Source organism: Homo sapiens, chromosome 5 (genome assembly GCF_000001405.40).
Source record: "Homo sapiens chromosome 5, GRCh38.p14 Primary Assembly".
Classification (NCBI taxonomy): Eukaryota; Metazoa; Chordata; class Mammalia; order Primates; family Hominidae; genus Homo; species Homo sapiens.
In genome coordinates this window covers 16,124,778-16,146,473 of record NC_000005.10, presented here as the reverse complement: position 1 = coordinate 16,146,473, position 21,696 = coordinate 16,124,778, and the positions used below count along the sequence as shown (strand labels likewise).

The 21,696-nt window shown below is 38.6% G+C and overlaps 1 protein-coding gene and 1 long non-coding RNA gene across 3 annotated transcripts in view; one reads left to right on the top strand and one right to left on the bottom strand.

The window, feature by feature from the left end:
* MARCHF11 (membrane associated ring-CH-type finger 11) overlaps positions 1–21,696 on the top strand; it is a 112,653-nt gene that overhangs the window by 33,318 nt on the left and 57,639 nt on the right. The window lies entirely within an intron of this gene.
* On the bottom strand, positions 4,746–17,343 carry MARCHF11-AS1 (MARCHF11 antisense RNA 1). The gene is made up of 2 exons (XR_001742612.2): positions 17,180–17,343; positions 4,746–5,462 (listed from the first exon to the last, which is right to left on the bottom strand). It is a non-coding gene; the product is annotated as an MARCHF11 antisense RNA 1 (long non-coding RNA).

Sequence of the window (21,696 nt, the reverse complement as noted above, 5' to 3'; positions counted from 1 at the left end):
TCTACACTTTTGAGTTGAGATCATCCTCAACATGAATACTCTTTTCAAAACCATCCGTGGAAAGGGAAGAAATAGAATGCTTTCAGCAAAGGAGAAAGGCTTTGCTTAACTGCACCTTGTTTTGCTAATTTTTGGTTTTAGTGGGAGCTAACTGATGAGTAACAGGTGTCGACTTCCATGTATTTGAATGATTTGGTGTAATATAAAGAAGCCCACTGCGAGAGGTCATAGGGACACTGCCTGCTCCTTTATTTTAATAGAATAGAAGCAAAAAGGTTCCTGACATTTGGACAGGGAGATTCACAAGATTATCACCCACTCGTGACTGAAGAGGTTGACATGATGTCTCAGTTATTTAGATTATTTACAAAATCAAGACATTTTCTTCTGTTCTTGAAAATTATTATGAGCTTTGGTTTAAGGTGTTCCCTAAATCAGTGACACTGAATGGTACACTCCATTTATGGAATTTGTGAGTGTTGGGGGCGGTGTTTACATTGGCCATAAGGGATTTGAAATGCTTTCACATAAAACCCTCTCAGAGGTTCAGTTCATAAAAAAGGTGAAGTTGTATCTAATTCTTCACTTTGGACAAAAGTAGATAAATCTTACCTAGAAACATAAGAAAGTTTACTACCAGGACACCCATTTGAGGGCCGTGTGTCATACCTATGTTGAAATATGGAGATGGTGATTCTGTGAAAAGTAGCACATCTTTTTGTATTTTTTTTTCATAAAATCTTGTACTGGAATGAGAAAAAAGGGACATTGTTTATTTATATTTTTCCAGAATCCACTTCTATCATTATTGAGACTGGTCTTTTCAACACATGTGTCCTATTATATAGCATACATATATTTTGTCCCTAATTCTAAAAGGACTTTTTCTTCCATAAAGAACTGTTATTAGTCTGCTTGGATTGCTATAATAAAATACCATAAACTGGAGGCTTAAACAATAGAAATGTATTTCTCACAGTTCTAGAGGCTGGGAAGTCCAATATCAAGGCACCGTCAGGTTAGAGCCCAGTTTCTCTGATTCTAAAATGGTGACTTGGTTGCTGTGTCCTCCAGAGGGGAGAAAGGTCCCCACATGGTGGAAGAGCAAATGAGAGAGCAACTCCCCTCCTGAATGCCCATTCTGTAGCAGTATTAACCAGTTCATGAGCACTCTGCCTTTCACCTGGCCCCACCTACCAACCCTGCTGTGTTGGGAATTCAGTTTCTAACACATGAATTTTGGGGGACACATTCAAACCATAGCATCTTGGCCAAGGTAGTGTTTGGCAGATTTCTCCACTGTAAAATTATTCCTTCCCTCCCACCTCTTTCCATAATCTGCTTTTTGAAATTACACAGTAAGTGCAGCCCACACAGAAAGGGTGGAGGATCTTTGACTTTAAAAATGAATGTATTCAGCTCTGTTCTACTAACCCGTAATGTCTAAGTGAATCCCAATTCTATCCATTATCCTAATCCTAATGAGAAGATTTTGTCTAATGATTTTCCCACAAACTCCACCTACAACCTCTTTTTCTCATTTCTATCATCTGTCACTTTTCATTTTGCTGGTGTTCTGTGGCATGCACATGGCATTTAAATCCCAGATTAAGACTGAAAAATCAAGTTAGCTATCCCCACGTTCCTACTTAATTTAAGTGTTTGCTTAACGGCCTAAAAATTCAGATAATGAACTGAAAATTATTTTTTAATCACAGTGTTTGCACTGTGAAGTGATATACTTACTTTGGTACTATGACTTCCTCACTTGGCTAATACATTTTGGTATAATTTCACTGGGTGCGGAGCCATGTGACTCATATCTGTACATTCCTCTGTGTGTTTTATACACAGATTTCATTCCTTGATTAAGAATCAGAATGCACGCCTTAACGAAAAGTTAAAACCCCCAAATCCATCAAACCAGCTGATGAAGAGGGAGGGTGATGGGATAGGAGACATCAGTGAGCACATGTTGAATGGTTAGTCCTGGAGATTAAAGAAAAGGGAGAATAGAAGTTCTGCATAGTGATGCTGTTAGAAAGAGAGGAGGGCAGGGAGGACCTGCTGATGGCTGAACATCGCGACGAATAACACACCGGGAGAGTGTGCATGGTCTGGGTATCAAGGAACAATTTGTTAAAATCCATTTTCAAGGGCACTAACAGTTATCTTAATATTTAGAGGCTATTCAAGGACATATTCTTGACTTTTATGTTTTCTAATGCTGCACAGCATTCATTCTGAGTTTCTCTGAGAAATAATCATAAAGATTTGCTTACTGTGTTTCTGTGTATAAAGTGCTTTCATATGTGTTAGCTCAATAACTCCTTATTTCAAAAATCTGTGCTGTTAGTTTTATTATTAGTCCTATTTCAAAGATGGGTCCATTAAGGCTTAGGGAGGGTAAGCAGTTTATTCTGGATTACTTGATCAGAGATAAACCACAAAGAAATTCAGCTGGCTTCAATGAAATTCAGTTGATTTTAATACAGATGGAGTGAGCATCATCACGGCTAGGGACTGCTGGACCTGTGGGATCTACTGACTACAGGCCTTAGACTCTTAAGCATAATCCACTTAAACTACTCTGAAGTCCTGCCAGTATTTGGAAGAGGTTTTGCTACAGGGCTGTCCAAGCAGAGTCTCTCTCTGGGGGTGTAACCCAAACCCAGGCCAGGATTCTGGCTGTACCTCTGCTCCATGCCACACTCCCCAGGACCCAGACAAAAATTTCTCAAATATCTGCCTTTTGCTCTTTGACCTTGCATAATTTTTCAACTAGTCTCTCTGGTTTAGGCAGAAAGACAGAATCAGAGTTGAGGAAAAAATGCCTTTGTTAGTTGGAATGCAGGCCAGGGCCTAGCCCTTGCTTAGGACAGGTCTCCTCCAAGGGCACATTCCGGCTGAACAGTGTATCAGATTAGCTGTTACACTAATGGAACTTGAAATAAATAGGTCGAAAGGAGTTCCTGTTGGATGGGGAAAATATCGACATCCAGTGGCCTGGTGAACCAGCACCTGGGACACAATGAGGAGGAACAGGCCAGCCAGAGTGGGCCAGGGCAGCTGAATTGCCTTGGCCCAACGGGCCAGATCTAGCATTGTTAGAGGGACCAAAAATGACTGGCAAATAGGAAATGAGGCCAGGTCAAGACTTGTCTCCCTGTCAACTGTCCTTTCCCACACGACTCTGCCTCCCTGACTCCAGCATATCCGTGGAGGTCTCTGACTCTATACGAGGCTATTTTAGGAGTCAGAACTAGAGACAGAGCAGAGGGGTCACATACAAGGGCTTCAAACAGAATGAAGAGCCAAGGGCCAGTAAAGAAATGAAGGAACAGAGAAAGGAGGGGAGGAGAAATGGACCTAGGGTATTCTGCCCTGTTTAAGATCTGATACTATTTGCTTTTATCCATTAAAAAGTAAAATATGGCCGGGAATGGTGGCTCATGCCTGTAATCCCAACACTTTGGGAGGCTGAGGCGGGTGGCTCACCTGAGGTCGGGAGTTCAAGACCAGCCTGACCAACATGGAGAAACTGCATCTCTACTAAAAATACAAAAAAAAAAAAAAAAAAAAAAAAAAAGCCAGGTGTGGTGGTGCGCATGCCTGTAATCTCAGCTACTTGGGAGATGTCTGTAATCTCAGCTACTCGGGAGGCTGAGGCAGGAGAATCGCTTGAACCTGGGAGTCGGAGGTTGCGGTGAGCCGAGATCACGCCATTGTACTCCAGCCTAGGCAACAAGAGCGAAACTCCATCTCAAAAAAAAAAAAAAAAAAAGATAAAATATAAGAAGTGTACACAGGGCTTTCCCTTTAAGTGGAGCTAACAAAAAAGAGGGAGGCCGGGGTAGTGGAAGCCAGAAATGTGCGAGTCCCCTAGTTCACAAGACTGTACAGCTCACCATACTCCCTCGAAACCTGGATCCAGAACTTGCAGGTAGTTTGATTCCTTAGGGCAAAACCAGCCTGCATGGTAGTGCTCTAGAATATATTTTGCTATGTGTTTACCCTGCGAGCTGTCTACTTGGCTTAAGACACTATTGGGCTCAGAAGAAGGATTTTTGAAATCCGTCCCAATGCTCCTAGAGTGCCATTACTTCCAGCGTTGCTATTTTTACAATAAAGGTGAACATGAGTGGAGGAGGTGAGGACATAGGTCCTAGGTGGAAGAGAAAACCGTATCATGATTGTGAGTTCTTGGTTGCTTGTGCCTCTTAAAATCTTAACTTGGAAATGGCTTGCCTCTAAAACATGATAAGTGCAACCTTCCCCCGATTTTAACCACTTGTTGATGACTATTTTGATTTTGGAAATAGTGAAGCCAGCCCTTCAAGTGTTTTGTCATTTTGGCCTGAGTTGATAACTTTGTGTGACTAAGATAGAATCTGCTAGTTTTCCTCTTAAAAATGATCACAAGTCTGTCTTCTACATTTTTGGCAGTGACTTATGTGGAAACCATGGGTTGGCTCTGTTCTGCCCTTTAAAATCTTTGTTTGAAAAGTGATTTTCCAGAAAAATGGGAAGGAGATCCCCCCACGAATGCAGCAATATCTTGATGGTTAAAGGCCTTGAGGGGGTCCTCATGCCGTGAGGCAATGAATGTGAAGTACTTGGATACTGCAAAGTGCTTTGCACAAAATAGATGTTTTGGAGACTCAGGGTCAGCATGTAGTGTTCTCATGTGTTTTTTGTTTTTGTTTTTGTTTTTGGCTCTTGAGTTTCAATTCACATTTTCAAGGTGAATGGAAAGTAGATTTTATTGGATTTTAAAAACAACAATTTACTTCAAAATATTACAGTGATCGTGCTGTGTAAACAAGGGTGTCCCAAGCTGTTTAGCTTCTAATGGCTGTGTTTCTCTCACATTTTTATTTGATGACTTTCCAAGGACATCGTTCTTCCAAGGACATCCATTCTTTTATTTTGCCAACAGAAGATGGCTGAGCTTTTTGCAGTTTATCAGTTTCCAGATGGCTTTCACATTCTTGTGGACACTGTGCGCTTCTTGGGAAAGGGCCACAGTTTTGTTTTTATTTTCCTCAGTGCCTGAAACTTTGGGAGTGTTGACTGCTGAAGAGGATTTGTGCTGCTAAATGCCTCTTGGCTTTAGATTTAAGACCAGAAAATAAGACAGATGAGGACAGCTTCTCTTTACTGGTGTATGTCCAGTGCCTAGAGTAGTGTATGGCCCCACAGAGACACTCAGTAAATATTCGCACCCTGAGTAAGTGTGCCTGCACCTTATGCGTCAGATGTCAGTCATTAGATAAACCTTCTCCAATGCCTCCTGTTGAGAGGGTGGGAAGAAGCAGGGAGATGCTGTTAGAGGTTTGCTCCTCTGTTGGTCTGATGACTAGACAATTCTCCAACTCACAAAATAAATCCGGAGTCCCACGGCTTTGGCCCAGCCCCCACATCCTGTACAGTTCCACTGCCATTGCTTGACCTCAGCATTACTTTAGGAAAAAAGAAAGAACAATTTTTGAATAGGCACACATTTGCTTAGGGTGCCAGGAACATAATAAGCACTATATAAATGTTAGTATTATGATCTTAGTGATGTCTCCAAGTTTTTCTATTTTATTAAGAATTCTGAAAAATCAAGAATGTATAAACTTTACATTTTAATAAATTTTGTCAAATTCCGTCCCAGCATTAATGGAGAAAATATTTCTCTCCTTGTACTTACTAATATGAATAATTATATGGACATATTTTAAAATGTTGAACAGTGTTGCACAATTTTGTTTGCATAGATTTAGTTTAAGATTTTTTATGTTGAGAACGTAAGGGAAGTTTGTGGTTTCCTTGTGTGCATGTGCTGTCTTTGTAGGGGGTTGGTGTAGAGGTTATGTCGATTTCATAGAAAGGTTCAAAACCATTCCTTCCTTTTCCATATGTATTGTAAATAGCATTGGAATGAGCTGTTTCTTTAAGAATTCATAGAATTCACTTGTGTGAAGTTGATTTTGTCTGGTGCATTTCGGGAGGGGTATTCTTTGACAATTTATTGCAGTTTCATTTGTGGCAATTAGCTATATATACAATGACCCATCATTCAGGTTTTTGCATTTATTATAATATTTTTAAGCCAAGGGGCTTTTATGATTTATATAGTCTGTGAATAATCTGTGGTTGTTTCTATATTCTGACTTTTATATTTTTTCTTTATTTTGGTTATTTAAGGGTTTATCTCATTTATTGGCCTTACATTTCTTGAATTGAATGTTTATTTTCTAAAATAATTATGCATTTTTTTCTTATTTACTAGTATAAGTAGTTTAGGCTGTGAATTTTCCTCTCAGCCCATTATGGCTGTATACAGAGATTCCAATAGAGGACATTCTATTTTCACTGTTTTCTGCAAATACTGTATTCTTGGTTTTGATTTCATTTTTGACACAAAGTTTATTTTGGGGAACTAAAATTTTACAGATGGCAGGGTGTTTTGGTTTTCTAATTTGTTATAGATTTTTATTACATTGTCAACAGCAAGTATTGTCTATTTAATTTCTACTTTTGTAATTTATTGAGGCTTTGTTTTTCTATTGATAGTGAAAACATCCCATAAAAATTTGTAGAGAAGTTGCATTCTCTATTTTAAGACATGTAATTCCATTTATATATCAATTAGAATGGCTTGGTAATTTTATTCTTATTTCTTACTCACTTGATCATTCTTTGTCAGGAAAGAGATTAATTTCAACATTACTATATTTTTTATACTTTTGTAGTTCGGATAGATTTTGCTATGTAAATATTGATACCATATTTATAGTGTTAGATGTTCATTGTGAATTATACTCTCTACAGTTTTAAAGTAGCTTTTTTTATTGGATGGTATTTGCTTTGAATTTAATGTGTCTGATAATAAGATTAAGATTCTTGATTTTTTTGTTGGTACTGGTCTGGTATGCTTTTGCCCAAGCTGTTATTTTCAACTTTTCTGAGTCACATTATTTTAGATGTTCCTTACATATAGCATATGTATTAGTCCATTTTAATAGTGCTACAAAGACATACCCGAGACTGGGTAATTTATAAAGAAAAAGAGGTTTAATGGACTTACAGTTTCACATGACTGAGGAGGCCTCACAATCATGGCTGAAGGCAAATGAGAAGCAAAGTCACATCTTACATGGTGGCCAGCAATAAAGAGCTTCAGCAGGGGAACTCCCATTTATAAAACCATCAGATCTCATGAGACTTATTCACTATCATGAGAACAGCATGGGAAAAACCCACCCCCATGATTCAATTACCTTCCACCAGGTCCCTCCCACAACATGGGGGTATTATGGAAGCTACAATTCAAGGCAAGATTTGGGTGGGGACATAGCCAAGCCATATCATTCTGCCTCTGGCCCTTCCCAAATCTCATGTCCTCATGTTTCAAAACCATTCATTCCTTCCCAACAGCCCCACAAAGTCTTAATTCATTTCAGCATTAACTCAAAAGTCTACAGTTCGAAGTCTCATCCATGACAAGGCAAGTCCATTCTGCCTATGAGCCTGTAAAATCAAAAGCAAGTTAGTTGCTTCCTAGATACAATGGGGCTACAGGCATTGGGCAAATACACCTGTTCCAAATGGGAGAAACTGGCCAAAACAAAGAGGTTGCAGGCCCCATGGAAGCCCAAAATCCATCAGGGCAGTCAAATCTTAAAACTCCAAAATGATCTCATTTGACTCCATGTCTCATATCCAGGTTATGCTGATGCAAGAGGTTGGCTCCCATGGCCTTGGGCAGCTCCACCCCTGTGGCTTTGCAGGGTACAGCCCCTATCCTGGCTGTTTTCACGAGTTGGCATTGTCTGCAGCTTTTCTAGGCATGTGATGCAAACTGTCAATGGATCTACCATCCAGGGTTCTGGAGGATGGTGACCCTCTTCTCACGGCTCCACCAGGTGGTGCCACAGTGGGAAGTCTGTGTGGGGGCTCTGACCCCATATTTCCCTTCTGCATTGCCCTAGCAGAGGTTCTCCATGAGGGCTCCACCCCTGCAATAAACTTTTGCTTGGACATCCAGGCATTTCCATACATATGCTGAAATCTAGGGAGAAGTTCGCAAATCTCATTTCTTTACTTCTGAGCACTTGCGGGCCCAACACCACGTGTAAGCTGCCGAGGCTTGGGGCTTGCACCATTTGAAGCAATGGACTGAGCTGTTTGTTGGCCCCTTTTAGCCACAGCTGGGATGCAGGGCGCCAAGTCTCAAAACTGCACACAGTAGGGGGCCCTGAGCTCCGCTGATGTAACCATTTTTCCATCCTAGGCCTCCTGGCTTGTGATGGGAGGGGCTGCCATGGAGACCTTTGACATGCCCTGGAGACATTTTCCCCATTGTCTTGGCGATTAACATTTGGCTCCTTGTTACTTATGCAAATTTCTGCAGCTGGCTTGAATTGCTCCTCAGAAATGGGTGTTTCTTTTCTATTGCATTGTCAGGCTGCAAATTTCCTGAACTTTTATGCTCTGCTTCGCTCTTAAACATAAGTTCCAATTCCAAACATATCTTCGTGAAAGAAGAAAACTGAATGCTTTCAAGAGCACCCAAGTCACATCATGAATGCTTTGCTGCTTAGAAATTTCTTCTGCCAGATACCCTAAATCATCTCTCTCAAGTTCAAAGTTCCAGAGATCTCTAGGGCAGGGGCAAAATGCCACCAATCTCTTTGCTAAAGCTTAGCAAGAATCACTGTTCCTCCAGTTCCCAATAAGTTCCTCATCTCCCTCTGAGACCACCTCAGACTGGACTTTTTGGTCAAAACAATTCAATAAGTCTCTAGAAAGTGCCAAACTTTCTCACATCATCCCGTCTTCTTCTGAGCCCTCCAAACCATTCCAACCTCTGCCTGTTACCCAGTTCCAAAGTCACTTCCACATTTTTGGGTATCTTAATAGCAATATCCCACTTTACCAGTACCAATATCTGTATTAGTCAATTTTAATACTGCTATGAAGAAAACTTGACTGAGTAATTTATAAAGAAAGAGGTTTAATGGACTCACAGTTCCACATGGCAGGGGAGGCTGCATAATCATTGGCAGAAGGCACAGCAGGAGCAAAGGCATATCATACTTGGCAGCAGGCAAGAGAGCATGTGCAGTGGAACTGCCCTTTATAAAATCATCAGATGTCATGAGACTTATTCACTACCATGGGAACAGCATGGGAAAATCCTGCCCTTATGATTGAATTACCTCCCACTGGGTCCCTGCCATGACACATGGGGATGATGGGAGCTACAGTTCAAGATGAAATTTGGTTGGGGACACAGCCAAACCATATCAGTATACCGATTTTTCACCCTTGGGGAGCCAATCTACGGGCCTTTTTCTTCTGAGTTTTGAACATAATGAGGGCTTAGTTACATAATAGATGTGTTAGTTTTAATACTGTAACCATATTTTATGTTATTTGTTTTATTATTTAATTTTTATTACATGGTCTAGATTTGATTTTATATTTTTTATTGTTATTTAGAAAGGTCATGTAATGTTGTAACTCTTTTAGATTAGATAACTTTTGTAATTAAAGCTTCACAGATCTATTTAGTTCATTATGTTTCTTTAGCTGCTACTTATATCACTTTAGACCCATGAAGAAATAAGCATTTTTGAGCATATTTCCACCTTCCATCCTTTCTTTCTGATTTTATTTGATTGTAGTATATATATTTTTAGCTATCCTGCTATTTACTTTTATATTTTTAATAAACTTAAATTGCTTTTCCTTTACCAGATTTAAATTTTATGTTTTACATTGGCTATAAAAGATGAGTCAATTAAGGTACTTCATTCTCCACTTCTCTTCCTGTGTACCTCCAAGTTTTGTTAGTTACCCCATTTCTACATTTGTCATAGCATAGCCCATTTCTATTCTATAACCATAGTTCTCACAGTTGCATTACTTTTCATTTTTTGTTTGAATGCATTCTGTAATCACTGCTAGTCATTTTGCTATTGTTTCTCATTTGTCTCCTGACTTTCTTTGCCTGTGGACCTGGGATGCCTTCTGTCATGTCCTGATACTGAATGTTGCTGCAGAGAAGCCCACAGTTGCTTATGTGTTTCCCTTCAAGATAGATTTATCTTTCTATCCTGTCTGGATGCCAGAAAGATCTTTCTTTGTCACTGAAGTCCACTTACTTCATGTTTATTGTTACATATCAGTTTTTTTTTTCTGGTACCCAATGTACCCTTGAATATTTTATTACTCAAACATTTTCTTGAATTACACTTTGTTTATTTATTTAGTCCTATTTGTTCTGTTTTCTTTTTCTGGGACACCATTTATGCATATATAGAATCTCCTTCTCTAACTACTATCATTTTCTTCCTGAATTTTTAAGAGCATATTTAATTTATTATCTTCCTTAATTTGTAGATGAGAAACTGAGGCATAGTAATGGACAGGAATGGCTAGGAATCAAGCCTTGGTCTGCCTTCCCTCTTTTCAGAATGCCTTTATTCCTGTTGAAGATCTTCCCACATCATTTTGCTCTTTCTCGCCCTCTGTGCTTCCTTCTCCTTTTTTTTATTTCTTTCTCTTTCCCTCCCTTCCTTCTTTTTTTTTTTTTTTTTTAAATCTCTTTCACTTCCTCCCTTCCCGCCTTCCTTTCTTTCCTGTGGTCTTTGATGTATTTTTCCACATCTTTGCATTGAGGAGAGCGTTCCAAACAAAAGTGTGGCTGTTCCAAATAAGTGTTCCAAATAAAGCTATGTATGTATTACGTAGTATGATTTACTCATACTTTTTGGTATTTTCTCAGTAGGCCTGGAGACCATCTGGCATTGCCATCTATGTAATGATTGCTTTTCATCTATATCAACACTTGAAAATTTTTGCAACAGTGTTTTCTTCTTGAGCTACATGATCTCATTTCTTAAAAGGTACTATTATTTGTAATGTTTTTCTTTGAGCCTTTCTTTTTAAACTGTAGACCCCAAAACTGTAGGCAGTATTCAGAAGAGACTGTAGATGGCCAATAGGGTGGAGGGAATTAATCTCATGTTTAATTATTCAATTTTGTTTTTTTGATTTTTTAAATTCTTTAATTCTTCAATTTTGGTTTCAATAATGTACTTAATTTTATGCACCAGCTTTCCAATTCATGTCCAGTTTTGGCCCACTAACTCCTAGATCTGTGTCAGACACATCTGCAAATCATTCTCTACATTGTCTTGTGTAATTGGTTTATCCTCTGTAAATGACCCAGCAGGGGCCCCTTTTGAATCTCATCCTGTTTATTTCTGTTCACCTCAGCACTTAACAATGCCAGTCTGAATTCATACAGCTTCCTGGTTTAGTAACTGGCCCAAAGCTGTTAAGTTTATATGTTCTGCCATTATGCAGTCATTGATGAAAAATATTCTAAAATGAGCTGGCCAGGAACTGACCTCTAAGTTCACTCAAAACTATGTGTGCGTGTTTGCATGTGTGTGTGTGTGTGTGTGTGTGTGTGTGAGAGAGAGAGAGAGAGAGAGAAATCACTCATAATCCTGCAGGTATAGAGACTAGTTGGCATGATTTTGTGTTTCCTTCTAGATTTAAATATACATGCACACATATAATTTTATTGAATTGTACTCATGTTTTATATACCTAAATTTTTTATCAAGTTTTCTCTTTGTATTATGCTTTCTCATGTTGGTAAATATTCTTTACATATGGATTTTGTAATGGCTGCATAACTTTTAAATATAAGGATATGCCAGAACTTATTTAGTCACTTTCTTATTGTTGAAATTCTTATATTATCAAATTCTGTCCTTATTTATAACTATTTCATTAAGATAGGGTTTGAGAAGTATGGCTAATAGGTGAAAGAACATGATAATTTTTTTGGTGATAATTTCTTCTGTTGTTTTATTTCAAAATACTGCATGTATAGCTATATAATGCAGGCATTAACATTTTGTGCCTGTATAACAGAATACTACAGACTGGGTAATTTATAAAGAGGAGAAAGTTGTTGGCTAATGGTTCTGGAGGCTGGAAATTTGAAGATTGAGGAGCTGATCTGGCAGGGTCTTTCTTGCTGTGTCATCGCATGGCAGCACGCAAAGAGAAGGCAATAAGAGATCAGACTTGCAGCCTCAAGCCTTTTATAATTGGCAATAATCCACTCATGAGGGTGGAACCCTCATGACCTAAACCTTCCCCATTAGGTCCCACGTCCCACATGATTGTATTACATTTCCAGCACATGCTTTTTGAGGAACACAGTAAACCACAGCAATATATAATAGGAGATGGCTTATGAGAGCGCCTGTGTCATTTTACATTCCCACCAGTATTATGAGTGACTGCCTTTCCATGCCAGGCTCAACACTGAGCCTCATGAGTTTTTAAATTTGTTTCGACTTAATATAGGAACAATGACACTCCATTGCTTTAACGATTGTTTCTTTTTATCAATAGAGTTGACTAGTTTATGATGTTTATGAGTCATTTGTATTTCTTCTGAAAATTTTCTGAACAGGTCCTTTGGCCAATTTTCTGTGCAGGTATTAGAGTTTTGATTATTTCCCTTAAGGACGTTTCAAACCAACCTTGTACAAGCTATGGCCCGCGGGCCACAAGCAGCCCAGAGCAGCTTTGAATACAGCCCAAAACAAATATATAAACTTTCTTAAAACCTTATGAGATTTTTTTTTTAAAGCTCATCAGCTGTCATTAGTGTTAGTGTATTTAATGTGTGGTCCAAGACAATTCTTCTTCCATTGTCGCTCAGGGAAGCCAAAAGATTGGACACTCTGTTTTAAATATTTCAACTTTTTTCATGTTTTTGCAAATGTGTGTGTGTGTGTGTGCATGTGTATGTGTGTTTATGCAAGAGCATGTGCATGTAACATTTTTTGTTTCTATTTATGTAAGTTAGTTAGCTAGTGCTGTGTAAGAAAAGATCCAAAACTCAGTGGCTTACAACAATAATTCTTTGTTATTATTTGTCAGTTTTTATGTATCTATGTGGTCTTTTGGTCTTGTTGGATTCTCTCATGCCTCTGTGGTCAGATGTGGGGTGAAGAGATACTTCTGCTGATCTTAGCTGAGATCTCTTGCATTTTGGGCACTGGCGGCTGGCTGATCTCTGATGGCCTAGACTAGGGCAACTGGGCTCTCTCTCCTTCAGCAAGTAAGCTTAGCTTGTTCAAATGATGGGGTTCCAAGGAAGGTTTAGAACTTGTGCATAGCTACTCCTGACACATTCTGTTGGGAAAAACAAATCAGAGATGAACACCAAATTCCAGGGAAGGGGAAATACACTCTACTTCTTAGTGGGAGGAACTGCAAATTTTGTATGTTACAAAGGGCATAGATCAAGGAAGAGTGAATAATTGGGGCCACTTTTTTTTCAATCTTCCACAGTAGGCAACTTAAAAAAAAATCATTTTAGGATATCTCTTCATCCTTTTGATTATTTTTTCTAAGATATGTCAAATAAACTTTTTTAAAATTAATTTTACTCTGATTAAGTACATGAAGATTTCCTTCACTACGTCTTTATTTTTTGCATCCATTCCTATTGTTCATGTTTATGTCAGTTGCTTACTGCAGTGTGAATTTTGATTTGCCTATTATGTTTTATTATTTTCTTGCAATTATTTATCTTTATTTCTATTGCAGCCAATTGTGTTTTCCTCTGTTCCTACTAACTTTTCATTTGAAGAGTTTTCTCTCCATGTTATTTTCTGTTCTTGTTTCTTATAAAGCATAGCTTCCTTCATACTTTCTTAGATTTCCAAGAAGTTTTCCAAAATGTCCTTGCATTTTCTTTAATAAAACATTAGCTCTCTTACTCTTGGTGTCCAGGCCAACACTTCACCCTATTTTGTTCCCCCAGCACTTTGTATGTAAATCATCCATATCCAAATACAACCCCTTGTTTGCTTGTCAGTCAAATGTTTTTGCATTATCCTGGTAGTTTGCCTTTTAAACAACATTCTTTCAACAACTAGAGGTCCGTGTACAAACTGTCCATCATTGACTGTGCCATGTCAGGCACTGTAGAAGGGTCATGAGGTCCATGTTAAGGAGGAAGAAGCTAAAGACAAAAGTGAAGTGAAAACTTCTAGACCAAAAAGAGTGGAACCCTGGCACAGGTACTAAGTCGGACTGTTGGGACCCACCTGGCTGGCCTGAAGGTTGATGAGATCAGACGAAAAGGAACATAGCCAGCTGGCCACTCATCACACCGTGTCCCTTCTCCTTCTCAGCTGTATACTTATTTCCTCTTATTGTTGCTCTTAGGCCATTTAAACACCTGGAGAATATCTAATTTGGTACTTGGCTCTGAACATGGCAGTAAACCTGTTTATAGTCTTATACACATCCTGCATCCCCCTGCACCATCTGGTCAGTCTCCACAGTCACAGTTGGTAGATGCTCTGAGCCCTTGCCATGGGGCTCTGGATCAGGGATGAAATGAATCCCCCGTAGCCAGTCTCTGAACGGCACTCATGGATTGCAGTCAGTGGCTTCTTCACTGCTTTCCTTTTTCGTTCTTTCTACGTTAGTGAACTTTACTTTACCACAGAGCACCTGCTACTTAATTATTGTGTCTCCCTTTAAATGATGCCACATCACCACTACTTAATATCTGACACCAGACACCAGCAAAAGTTAGAACTGAGTAGGTATTTAGAAAAACAAAAGGACATATGGTCCAGTTCTTAAGCACGAAGTAGTGATCTTTCCATTTAAGCTGTCCATCATGAAATGGCAATGTTCCCAGAATGTTTGAGCTGAAATGGATCTGGGAGACCACCAAGTTCAACTTCGTCATTGTATCAGAGGAAACCGAATCCCAGAGGGGCTGAGCGGCTCATTTATGATTCCAGAGTTGGTCATTGAAAGACAGGTCTCATACCCAGGTCTCTTAAATCCTCTGCCTTTTTCTTCACCACTCCCACCCCCGACCAGTTCTTCTCATTGCTTTGCTGATAACATTACATTTTGTTTTAGATTGCATTTTTTCTTTCCTTTCTAATACCAAGGTCCACATGTTTTTCACCCTTCTTTTAGTATAATTACACATTTGTATATTTATTCTAGTTCAAAATGGATTGAATATGTTTCCATAATTGATTTCTTGTTGTCTAGAAAATTACAGATAACAAACTAGTTTATTAGGTAATTGTTTTCTACTCCCATTTCTCCATAGAAGGTAATTCAAAGGGGATTATGTGACTGCTTACTGAACCAAACTGCATTGCTGCATGTTACTTCTTCATGATGGTTATTTGCTTTCTTCCTTAAACATTAATTAGGAGTCATTGCCATCAGAACCAGAATTTTGAACTTGTTTAAGGAATTACTTTGAACTGTTATAGCACTTTCCTTAATATTACATGTTGATTTGTGTTAATTTACCTTTCCCTTCTATCTATTATTCAGGCTATCCTCTGCTGATTGAAATATTCAAGGTACTGCTGGCTTTCACATGTATATTTAAAGGCACGTGTAAATATTCAACATTATCTTATCAACTTAAAATGAAGAAGATATCAGATCATATTTGCCTGTTAAATTAACAGGAGCCTTCAGGCATATGCATTAAAATAATTTGTGTCAGATACAAAAAGAGTTAGAAGGTGAACTAATTTCAATGAGAATGGAAAATGTGATGTCTAGTAAAAATTACATAAACATATTTGGGGTTAGACCGTCAGTTCATGGTTTGATCCCTGGCAGTAGTGCTAAGATTAACCTGTGATGGCATTTGTCTTCTACCCCAAAAATGACAATACAAATTAGAAGTGTACCTTGAGCATTCCTGACTCCATTCAATGACACTTCTGGGTTGTTTACACTGATAAAATTGCTATTTTTGTTTGTCCTTTTATGTCTGCTCCTTTCATGTATGCCATCACCAAGAGAATTTTTACCAGAACCAAGAAGTTTTCTTTTCCAAGAACAGTTTATCCTCTCTATTTAGTAGCACCCTGCAGTAATTATATTCTGTAACTGCCCAGCCAGAATCTTTACAGAAGTGCACAAAACAACAAAACTATATTCATAATGCCCACATATCACCAGCACATTTTAAATCACAATTTCACAATTATTTAGCTTAGCAAATGTGTTCAAGTTAAGGATCTGAATCTTATCGAAGTGCTCATAACCTTTATTGGCTAGTAAGACAGAGTAAAGGTTAACAAAAAAGATGAACACATCTTTTGTGTGTGTGTGTGTGTGTGTGTGTGTGTGTATGTACCTGGAATTTACGGTCTTTTAATCAGTACAAGAGTTACTATGAATTGTTAGCTGAGAAGTGGACCAAATTTCCAAAATGAATCAGGATATAATTATTAAATATGTTAAAATGAGATTTTACCTGTATTTACCCAACGAAGTTAGACAGAAGGTTAGTGGCAATAAATAATTATCTCTCATTTCTCTGTAATTGTTAAAATAATTTGCATCTATTGATTTTCTTGAAAATGTTATCTTGAAATGTTAAAAATGGAAGAGATGGTAACTTTATCAATTTCAGATTTCATAGCATAAATTTGACTCCTTCCTCGTTTTAAAATTTTTTATTTATGTTTTTTGACACTGATCTCATTGATAGGCTTTCCTCGCTCTGGTAACATATCTCTAGTGCCACTTAAGATAAAAGTAAGTTGGTCCAGATGTCATAAAATGATTTCAAACAAAAGAATTTTGTAACTTATTGGAATAAATGTCAATTGGAAATCACTATGTCTTCTTGAAATACCTGAAAACAAACTCAAGAAGGGTATTGCAAATATCTTATTCCATCCTACAGTTAATTTTTACAAAGCCTTTTTAGAGTTGCTAAAACTCAATGTAGAAATAAAATATCGCTGAGCCAACAAGTTGTTTGAAATATAATTTACTTAAGGCATAATAAGAATATAAAATAACTCTAAAATAAATATTATGTGAACATCTTTAAGTTAAATTAAATTTGGCATAGCTAATTCAATATAAAACAATTGACTTAACAATAAAGAATTTGTTCCCATTGTAATGATTATTTTAAAAATGGTTTATTTTAATATACTGCTTGATAGAAAGAAATGAAAGACACGCTTTATTCTGGGAAAAGCTTTCCTGAGCAATGCCAATATAACCAAACAAACACTGCTAATCATGAGAAGATGACAGAAAACATTTCCAGCCATTCTACAATCTTACATACCTGTAAATATCTTTGGACGGTCCCAACTGACAATGTTAAATTTGTAAGACACCCGACTCCAGAGATGAAAGCAATATTGTGCCAAGATATACAGCAGAGTGTCAGCTTATGTCAGTTTCATGCAAATGGCATGAACTACAGTGAACGATGTGTAAGTTCTGATTGCCACGTAGAAGGACTGAACGATGCTGTTAAAATTAGAGCCACTCAAGCAGTAAGCTTGTCTTCTGACCAACCCTCACTAATCAAGGGTTAGTGGGACTTCTTTGCATAAAAATATAAATGTTGAAAAGGATGTGGCCATATGTGCAAAATAAAAGACAGTTTTGAACATGGAAATAAGTACAACAGGGCAGAATAAGTAAATGTCTAAGGCTTAAATATTCGTCTACAATTGATGGTTTATGAATTACTGGCATGAACAGATGGCCAAGCTTGCTCACATTTTTCTTCTAAATTTTTGAATATTGAATACATTTTATTATGGACTTTGAATGACACATTTGAAATGGTGTTGTCACACACACATGCATACACACACACAAACAGTCAAGTTTGGCATATAAACAGTGAACTAAAATCCACTCCAAAGAGGTTATTTCTTTTGTTAAGACACTTTCTATGTTCAATGATTTTTCCCATAGCAGCTTCTTCTAAAAAGGATTATTTCTCAGGTCACACCAGCTTAGAATCACGTAAGTGGTAATGAAGAACGTTAAATTCTATTTCCCTGGTTCTTGCCCGTCCTTCTTTTAGTGGGACCCTGATCAACTTTAAACCCTTCCCCATCTATTTCTGGGTATCCCTAGGGGTTATCTCAGTGGCTTTGGGCATACCTTGGCAGTTGATAGCTCCTCAGCAACTTGCAAAGCTGTGCACAAGTACCCAGCCACATTTTTGTGCCTGCATTTGAACTGCTTGCAGACAAACGTGATCCCTGCTGGGTCCTTTTACCTCCAGAGATATGAGTGTTATTCCGTCACTCACAGGTGCCAGTGTGTGTCTGGGAGCCTTCAAATAGCCAAGCTGCACTGAGCCTTGAGTCAGAGTAGGGAGGATATCTGCCTTTTCTTGTTTGGTGGTGCTTCACCAGATAAATAGTGCTACCTTGTGTTGTGAAATTTCAATAAAAATACAGGTAGCCTGCATCAGCCCTGATAGGAAGCAGATGGAACCCTCAGCAGGTTTCGTGGGTGGTATGAGTAGGGTTAGAAGCAGCAGCAAGAGATGGCAGGCACTCAGGGACTGCACTAGCACCTGGGAGGGGCAGGCACAGAGTTCCTGGAGGCTGTAGCTGTGAAAGAGGGGATGAGCAGCATGTAGGAGAATGTAGCCATTGCCAAGTTCATGGCCAGAAAGGGAAAAAGCAAGTGGAGCAGCTACCCTGACTTCACTCCACTTCCTCCGTGTGATAGTCTAAAATCTTCTCCATTGACCCCGTTCAACCAGAAGCCAGAGGGGCGGGCAGATCCTGTGATTGAGAACAAAGCAGAGAAAGACAGACGAGGTCTGGAGGCCTAATCAAGAGTATTTGGCACATCTCTTCTCCCCTCTTCTCTCCTACAACATACTAGGCATGTGCCTTAGGAGCTGGGTTGGAGTAGAAATCTTCAAAGCAGATGCCTCACTACAGTTAGGACGGTCCCTCCCTGCTGGGGAACAATGGCAGATTGTAATTGTGGTCCTTGATTCCTTATCCAGAAGTTATTTGAAGCTACAAATAAACTTCTACTGTGTTGACCCAGGCGGTTCACCAGATCTCTTCAGATATGCCTTGTTAGGTGTTGATTTGGGGGCAAATCTCAAAGTCTCACTGGCTTAATCCAGTAAAAAGTTCCGTTTGCTCACATTCAAGCTCCGTATGAGTCAAGGTCTTCCTCCCTCTTGTAGATATCCCCCCTGGAACTTGGGGCCTCCAAGGTCACCACGAGGGAGAGGATCACATAAGATGTTTTTTATGGCCTGCCCTTGTGTGACCGACATCTGGTCACTTACATCTGACTGACCACTTAGTCACGTTGCACCAACCTGACTGCAGGAAAAGGCAGGATGTTTGATGAGCATTGGCAGTCCCTGTTCTGTGCCTGAAACTCAGCAATGACTATAACGTCTAGTAAGCCTGGCCTCCTTAACACATGCTAGTTGAGTATTCAACCTCTGTGACTGCACATATCCATTAAGTCCTGTTGTCCACCTAACCCTGTGAAACTTGAATAGTTTATATTACTCTAGATATGCTACTTTATCACCATAACTCATTATTTGGACGAGCCACTGGGGAGATGCCTTTTTTCTGACTGAGCTAAGGTGATGTAAGCAGGTAGATTTATGTTGTTATTAAAAATTTATGACCCCTTAAAAATATTCCCCCAATTTTTAATGCCTGAATCAAGTTGTTAATTTGACTTCTTCTAAAATGTTAACACCTAGTAATGGTAGATGCTAACAAAAGCAGAGCTTTTGAAAATACCGTTCCTTAAGGTTGGAACACACAATGAATTTTATTATGGTGAGTAGTTCATAGGGTGAACTGATTTCATGTCAGCACTCATTAGAATCTTAACCCTGTGTGTCCCATTGCATGAGAAACTTTGAAATATTTGAAATGCTGTACACAGGACCAAAGACTGGAGAAAGAATATAGTATCTTTTAGCTTTTTTGCCCTAGCGAATTTAGAACCACCATATACTCATAGTTTTTCCCTATCATTATAAGCAGTCAGTTCTTCTTTATAAAATGTCTATGCAGGGCATAAAGAAGTAGCTGTTATAACAATGAGAAGTATTAAATCGGGGCTTTGCAGTTAAGAACTTAAGCTTAATTCCAGATGCAAAGTATTATAACTTGGAATAAAGTACAAAATAATTCATGTGTTAAAAATTAAAAATTAGTTTATCTGCCAACATTTTCTAGTAAATTATTTTGTTTTTAATTAGTGGCATTTATATGATACATTCTTGGCATGTTGCCTCATGGAATTGGGGAGCACCATGCTAATCAGAAAATGATTTATCTTAATTCTCAATTCTCTTTCCTTTCTTTCTATGTCAGATGATCTCTGCCTCTTTCACTCACTACCCCAGCTTAAAACCATTTGTAGTTTATGTTGCAGTGATGGATTCTTTATCCCTTCATTAACAATGACTGCTTGACTGTACTAGGTTACAGTACTTAATTGTGAGCAGTAACTGTTGGCCAGAGTGATGTTATTTAAGAAACCAACACTAACAACTCTAACAGTTAAGGGATTCATCTGAATCCCTTACAGTGAACACTTATTCGAATTAGTCTCTTAAAGCTGGCAAGCAAGAAGTTATGTTCACAAATCGAAATGAGGAAATTCTCATTACATTGACGTAGTATCTACAGATTTCAGGCAAAACACTTCTTTGCTGTGCCTTTCTTATGGATAAAAGTACAAGTGCAGCTTACTTTGCACACCTACTGGTGTGTGTCAAGTTAACCCATAAGGGATTTGTACTACATTTCCTCTGCCTTTCTTATGTAGCTTTTCTTTCCTTCATAGAACAAATGTAGTTGGATTTCCTCACAATTGGGCCACTTATTCTTGGCTTCTTGACATGGGCCCCTTTGATATTGTAATAAAGCAGTGGTCAATATGAACACACACACACACACACACACACACACACACACACACACACACACACACAGAGAGTGTGCCAGGGTGCACCAGCTGAGAGGTGACCATGAAGGACCTAGTCCTAAGGTCTTGGCTGCCTTTAAAAGCTCCAAGTCCATTCCTGGGGACTAGGCTTGAGACTGGATTCCTCATGGCAGCCCCAAACATTACTGGGAAGTTAATTCTATGCTTTAAAACCCACATTGCAGGGGGCCATTTTGGGGACTCTTTATCGCATAGAGAGTTCCAGGATAATGATGATAATAGGATGTGTTGAACATGAACTGTGAGATATCTCGGTTCTGGATAGTGACATGTATTATCCTCAATTCATACCACAGCAGCTTTCCCAATGTTTAATATACAGATTGGCTTTGGGCCCAGTATTCAGTTCAAACATCAGATGGCCATCAATAAGCTATCAGCAGTGTCACCCTCATGTGTTACATTTCAGCCTAGAGTGACATATCACAGTTATCGGGGGGCTATTGAGTTGGAATTGCAAATTACGATGTATGGCTTAAACACCACTTTGCTGTCACACAACTGCCAAGAGTCTGAAAAATATTCTTGCGAAGAAACCTCAGATTGAAGGCAATTATAATAATGCAAACCTAATCAAACAATAAGAATGTGGCCAAGCCAACATTCCTGACACTAGTGCAGCCATGTTTCTAGAGAAAATAATGACAATCTAATCAGATCGACAGAATGCCAGCCAAAAACTTAGAAACGACTAAGAGGTTATTAGAAGTATGGATTTACATATTCTATTGTTAATTATGAATCTTGCCCCTAAGTGTGTTGTGTTCAAGATATAAACTAATGATACAAATTCAGATTTTATCTTGAGGTTTTAATTGTCCTGAATTG